The sequence below is a fragment of the Homo sapiens genome, chromosome 12 (assembly GCF_000001405.40).
Source record: "Homo sapiens chromosome 12, GRCh38.p14 Primary Assembly".
Classification (NCBI taxonomy): Eukaryota; Metazoa; Chordata; class Mammalia; order Primates; family Hominidae; genus Homo; species Homo sapiens.
The window spans coordinates 53,894,774-53,900,773 of NC_000012.12; the positions used below are offsets into that span (position 1 = coordinate 53,894,774).

At 41.6% G+C, this 6,000-nt stretch overlaps 1 long non-coding RNA gene across 7 annotated transcripts in view, besides 2 other annotated features; it reads left to right on the top strand.

The window, feature by feature from the left end:
* LOC105378250 (uncharacterized) overlaps nt 1-3,611 on the top strand; it is a 158,791-nt gene extending 155,180 nt beyond the window's left edge. For all 7 annotated transcript variants that reach the window (NR_189099.1, NR_189098.1, NR_189097.1 and 4 more), the window contains one exon: nt 1,424-3,611. This is a non-coding gene — a long non-coding RNA (uncharacterized LOC105378250). The remainder of the gene's footprint in view (nt 1-1,423) is intronic.
* Nucleotides 1,243-1,412: an enhancer, noted in NCBI's record as "experimental_29460 CRE fragment used in MPRA reporter constructs". NCBI's record gives its function as "activates a minimal promoter by MPRAs in K562 erythroleukemia cells, with activity observed for the introgressed 12:54289885 variant allele {active_cell/tissue: K562}" and the evidence as "EXISTENCE:reporter gene assay evidence [ECO:0000049][PMID:34662402]".
* Nucleotides 1,440-1,609: an enhancer, noted in NCBI's record as "experimental_29464 CRE fragment used in MPRA reporter constructs". NCBI's record gives its function as "activates a minimal promoter by MPRAs in K562 erythroleukemia cells, with activity observed for the introgressed 12:54290082 variant allele {active_cell/tissue: K562}" and the evidence as "EXISTENCE:reporter gene assay evidence [ECO:0000049][PMID:34662402]".
* Nucleotides 3,612-6,000: the final 2,389 nt, after the last annotated feature.

Genomic DNA, 6,000 nt, shown 5'->3' on the forward strand with positions numbered 1-6,000 from the left:
CAGGACCCCTGCTCAGGCATCAAATAATTATAATTCGTCCATCTGCCATTTCAAGTTCATGAAATGTGTTATTTGATCTTCTACATCAGCAGACTTTGCTCTGTATTAAGATACAGTTTATCTACTTTCCTTAAGTGCATCCAGTGGAGACTAAAAAGCCTTATATGTGGTTTGAAGAAAAAAGAAGGTCAGGAACATCAGTGTACCTTGAAGGTGGTAGAAGAGTAGAGAGAACCTTCAAGGCTGGGTGAGAAAATTGGGTCTGTTAGACTTGACTGAATCCACGCATTGAATAGAGTCTTCTCTTCCAAGGCTGCAGGCATGAGCTTTGCAAGTTTGAGCACACAAACTCTTGGCCTGAAACCACAGCTTCAGAATGAGCCTGGCACTAGGAGTTATCTCCATAATCTCCTTCCCTTCCCCAAATTAGAGTTATTTTTCCCTTCTTTCTTCTGATGATGAGGATATAATCCTGGCAAGAGTTGACCATTTCCCCAATATTATCTGTTCATTTTTACCATTATTTGGTGTGTTATTCATTTTTGGAATGATTTGCAGTGAATGTTTTATTGTGGCCCAGCATGCTCCTGTTATCCTGCATTCTTCAGCACAGCCATCTCTTCACTCATCATTTGGCAAGGGCTAGAATAAAACAAATCTTCTGAATATTTGTTCCTCTTACAGAAACTCTTCTTGCTAAGTCAGACCCCTCAGGGAGCACCTTCCTGTGTTGTATCTGAAATCTCCTGTTTTGGCTATCAGTGTCATAGTTTGCTACCAGAAGTATGGTAATTGAGACCACGGAGAACCCTCCCCAAAATGGTGAAAAGCCTTAGAAGCCTTTGTTTTAAAAGATGTGGAGATGAATTCCTGAGAGTTTAGATGCTTCTCCTACCCCTCCTCCTCTGGCCTCATGATGTCCTGCCATTCGTACATTTGAGACATGTGCTAAAGAATATCTACCCATCCTGCACATCTTCACCTGGAAAAATGCTGGCTGATTCCATGTGTCCCACAGGGGGATGTGTTGATTTGGATAGTGGGCAGCAGAAAGCCTTTGCTATTCAGAATATGGAAATGGGAGAAATGGAGCCAGAAAATGTTTACAGAACAGTGAGAGAAGAAAAGGAAAACTACCCAAAGGACAGCTGACCTGTTTAAAAGCAGAATATACTTAAAATACCCCAAGGACTGAGGCTTTTGTAACATGAGTGATGAGTATTAAAGGTAAAAGATTCCTGTTTTCAAACAGAGATATTCCTAAACCTACCAAGCAAAGGAGAATCCACAATATCTGTTGTGGTAGGAAGTTCTTCTGAAGTCTAACATTAATCCCTCCGATGTTATTTTATTTGCCTATATTAATGTGTTGCTTTGTAATTGTTCTAAGGTTGCTTTTATTGTGTGTGTTTTGCCCTCACAGGTAAACTCCTCCAGGGCAGGACCTGACTCTTCAGAGGAATTTTTTAATCCCCCTCCCCAGAAGTGCCCACGTCAAGGCCATAGTAGAGAAGGAGCTCAAGAGCAATCCCTAAGCAACCACGCTTGGAAGCATCCTGCAACAGAGGGATTTGTTCCAGACTCAGATTTAATCCACTATTACCTTTTCGTAAGACAAGTGTTGTCTGAAGGAGTCTGTGTGTAATTTTGAGACAAAAGGATTGCAGAACTCAGCTCCCAGGTTGTCTCATATCTGATTCTTCGAAAGAGGAAAAGAAGCGAACTCTTCTGCACAATAGCTGAGCAGATAGGAGAGAAAAAGCTTGAAGATTCACAGTGGAGCAAGGCTAATTGGAGCCTTCCTCAGAGCAGCTCAACTATCCCAGTTTTACCTATCCCATTCCTTGCCATTCCCACTTGTAATTCTGTCTTGGCAAGAACACCATACTGAAGGTTCTTAAAGCAGTTTGTAGACTTTAATTAGTTCTGTGGAAAGTCAGTCAAAGCTCAGCCTTCATTCTGCCAACAGAGACAACAGTGGTGGGTGTGGAAGGAAGGCAAGAAGAAGATGGACACCCAGAGCAGTTGTGCAACTTACTGAAGGCCATGTGGATAGGAGGAACTGGGTTTAAAACCCCTGAGTCTTGATAAAAGTGTCTTAGCCTTCTAGATTCCTAAACAGGTAGTGGGCTCATCCTACTAACCTACTTTGCTAGGGTGTTGTTGATGAATGCTTATAAACCCTGTCCTAGATGATAGGTTTGGAAGATTGTTAAAGAAAGCATGTCATTAAGTCCCTACTCACCCCCTCCTTGACAAATAGCCCTGGAGGGAAATGAATATTAGCCAGAATCGTAGGGCCTCCACTTCAATGGAATGAACTGAGATTCAACAACAAGAGAAATGTTCCAACAGTGAGGGAAATCAACAATGTGCTGGGGGTGAAGGGTAGGGGTTGGGAAGGCCTAAACAGGTGACCATTGCCAGACAGCCCAGACAAGATCATCACAGAATAGCTGATTCCCATTAGACACTGTGGGTGATCATTATCTTAAAATTCAGGACACTATTTTTGTAGTAGTTTCCCTTCCTCTCTTTGTAAGAGCAGAAGACCTCTCTGGGGCCTATCACAAGACAAGCGGGTGTTTGCAAATGAGGGACGTACTTTGAGACTGAATTGCTCTGTGCTTCTCTAAAAGACATGGTTAAGAGTTTGGGCGCTGATGTTAGAGACTGAGATTAAAATCCTTCCTTGCCACTTCCATCAGTATAAATTTGGATAAGTTTCTTAACTTCTCTAAGCCTTGATTTTCTCACCTATAAAATGGGCCTAATAATAGTGCCTAACTTAGAGGTTTGTTGTAAAGGTTAAATGCAATTATTCAGGTAAAGCCTTAATGGAGCCTGATATGTAGTAAGCACTCAATCCATTTTATCTACTGACTCTTTTCTCTGTGTGGGTTACCCACTTTGGAGATTGTCCCCAGTAATTTCTTTGGTCAAGTCTTGATCTCCCTGGCCCCTTGGCTGTCTTCTCCCACCATGATCAGTGAGAAGTTGAGGAGCACTAATACCAAATTCTTTTTCATGTTAGTTAGGAGAAAGCAGAATTACGAAGGTCAACCTGCTGGTGTAAAAAAATATTACATAGATTAGCCCTGCTCTACATATTAGATATGTTCTCAAAATGCCTAAGTGGCCTTTTTTTTTTTTTTTAATTTAAGTTCTAGGGTACATGTGCACAACGTGCAGGTTTGTTACATGTGTATACATGTGCCATGTTGGTGTGTGGCACCCATTAACTTGTCATTTACATTAGGTATATCTCCTAATGCTATCCCTCCCACCCCCACCCCCTGGCAGGCCCTGGTGTGTGATGTTCCCCACCCTGTGTCCATGTGTTCTCGTTGTTCAATTCCCACCTATGAGTGAGAACACACGTGTTTGGGTTTTTGTCCTTGCGATACTTTGCCAAGAATGATGGTTTCCAGCTTCATCCATGTCCCTACAAAGGACATGAACTCATCATTTTTATGGCTGCATAGTATTCCATGGTGTATATGTGCCACATTTTCTTAATCCAGTCTATCATTGATGGACATTTGGGTTGGTTCCAAGTCTTTGCTATTATGAATAGTGCCACAATAAACGTATGTGTACCTGTGTCTTTATAACAGCATGATTTATAATCCTTTGGGTATGTGCCCAGTAATGGGATGGCTGGGTCAAATGGTATTTCTAGTTCTAGATCCTTGAGGAATTGCCTAAGTGGCCATGTTTATATTGGGTAATCTTTAAATGACTTTATTTGCAAGTCTGAGTAATATACTCATAGAAACAAGAATCACAGTTAAGGGAAGGGAAACTAATATTTGAGCTTGAGACACTTTCCATATCCAAGTCCAATTGAATCCTCCCAATCACCCAATAAAGAGATCTTATTATTCCCATTTTATATGTTAAACAACCAAAACTCAGAGAGGTTAATTAATACTCTCAAAATCACTCTTCTAGGGGTGGTGGAGCCTAAGTTTGAATGCAGCTCTGGCTCCCAAACCTGTCCATTTTCTACTATGTCATGCTCAAAGGCATATTCTGCTTTTGTCCATTGTCAGCCTATGTGCATTTAAGTTTCCCACACAAATTCAAGAAGAATTTTATCCATCAATTCACATGACCTTGAGTATTAATTTAGTTTAAAAATCTTTCCCCTTATGATTTAAAAAATATTCACTTTAAGAAATTATCTGCCATGTGCAGGATTATCATAGGATTAAAAAAAAAAAAGAAATTAGCAGCCGGTTGTGGTGGTTCATGCCTGTAATCCCAGCACTTTGGGAGACTGAGGTGGGAGCATTGCTTGAGGCCAGGAGTTCAAGACCAGCCTGGGTAGCATAGTGAGACTCTGCCTCTACAAAAAATTAAAAATTAGCCAAGCATGGTGACACACGCCTGTAGTCCCAGCTACTCAGGAGGCTGAGGCAAGAAGATTACTTGAGCCCAGAAGGTTGAGGCTGCAGTGAGCTATGACCACTACATTCCAATCTGGGTGAGGGGTGAGAGAAGAAAGAAAGATAAAGAAGGAAAGAAAGAAAGTAAGAAAGAGAAGGAAAAAGGAGAAGGAGGGAGGGAATGAAGGGAGGGAAGGGAAGAAGGAAGGAAGGGAAGGAGGAAGGGAAGGAAGGGAGGGAGGGAGGCAGAGAGGGAGGGAAGGAAGAAGGAAGGAAGGAGGGAGAGAATGAAGGAAGGAAGGGAAAAAGGAAGGGAAGCAGGAAGGGAAGGACGGAAGGAAAGAAGGAAGGAAGGGAGGGAGGAAAGGAGGGGAGGAGGGAAGGAAGGAAGGAAGGAAAGAAGGGAAAATTATCCACATTTACTTCCATTACTATGGTTTGTCAAAAGCTGACTGTTGAACCAGGTGCAGTTTCTCACACCTGTAATGACAACACTTTGGGAGGCCGAGATGGGAGGATCACTTGAGCCCAGGAGTTTGAGCTCTCGTCCTACAAAATATAAATAAAAATTAGCTAGGTGTGGTGGTGTGCTCCTGTGGTCCCAGCTACTCGAGAGGCTGAAGCTGGAAGATCTCTTGAGTCTAGGAGTTCGAGGCTGCAGCAAGCAATGACCATGCCACTGCACTTCAGCCTGGGTGACAGAGTGAGACCATGTCTCAAAAAAAAAAAAAAAAAAAGCTGACTGTTGCCAGATAATAAAGTACATAATATATGATTCTAGAAAATGCAAGCTATTCCACGGCGACAGAAATCAGATCATTGGTTGCCTGGGCAGGGGTGAGGGCTGGAGGAGAAGATGGCAAAGAAACTTCTGCGGATGATGGATACATTTATTATCTTGAATGTAATGATGGTTTTACAAATGTACACTTATGTCAAAATTTATTAAAACTTTTAAAAGCTGACTGCATATTAGTCATCTACACACAGAAGAAGTAATGCTACATTAAAAGTAAAAACAGAGCACGGATTTCCCTGCAGCTCATTGTATATATACATACTGCCTTCTACCTACCAAGAGGGAAGCTGCTCCCCTAGACTGTGAGCTTTCCAATGGGAAAGGTTGTGTTTTGCTTGTCCTTGAGTCCCTAGCATCTAGTGTAGTGCCTATTACATCGGTTCTCAATAAATGTTGAATTGAACTAGATGTTTCTTTGAGAGTTTACACTGATTCCATAGAGCTCAAATGTGTAAGCAGCTTACTAAATATTAAGCAGATTTCCTGAACTGGCCAGAAGCTTTTGTAGATGTTTCAGTGCTCAGGGGTTCTAATTTTGCATGTAACCATAAAAATGGGAAGAAATGACACTGATCTGCTAAATTGAGTTGTTTTGCTGTCAACCAACTTTGTGAGTCTCCAGGTCTACTTGCAAGAAAGAGTTTCTGAGAGACCTGATGATAGATAAGACAAACATCTAGAGAACAGAAAGTGTTTTTAAGATGAGCAGTTGCAGATTGCAAGTGTGGCTTAAAATTGCAATCTTGTTAATATATGTAAATAAGAAAGTACATGTACTAAGGTATTCTCACACCTCACGTCTCCTATTCA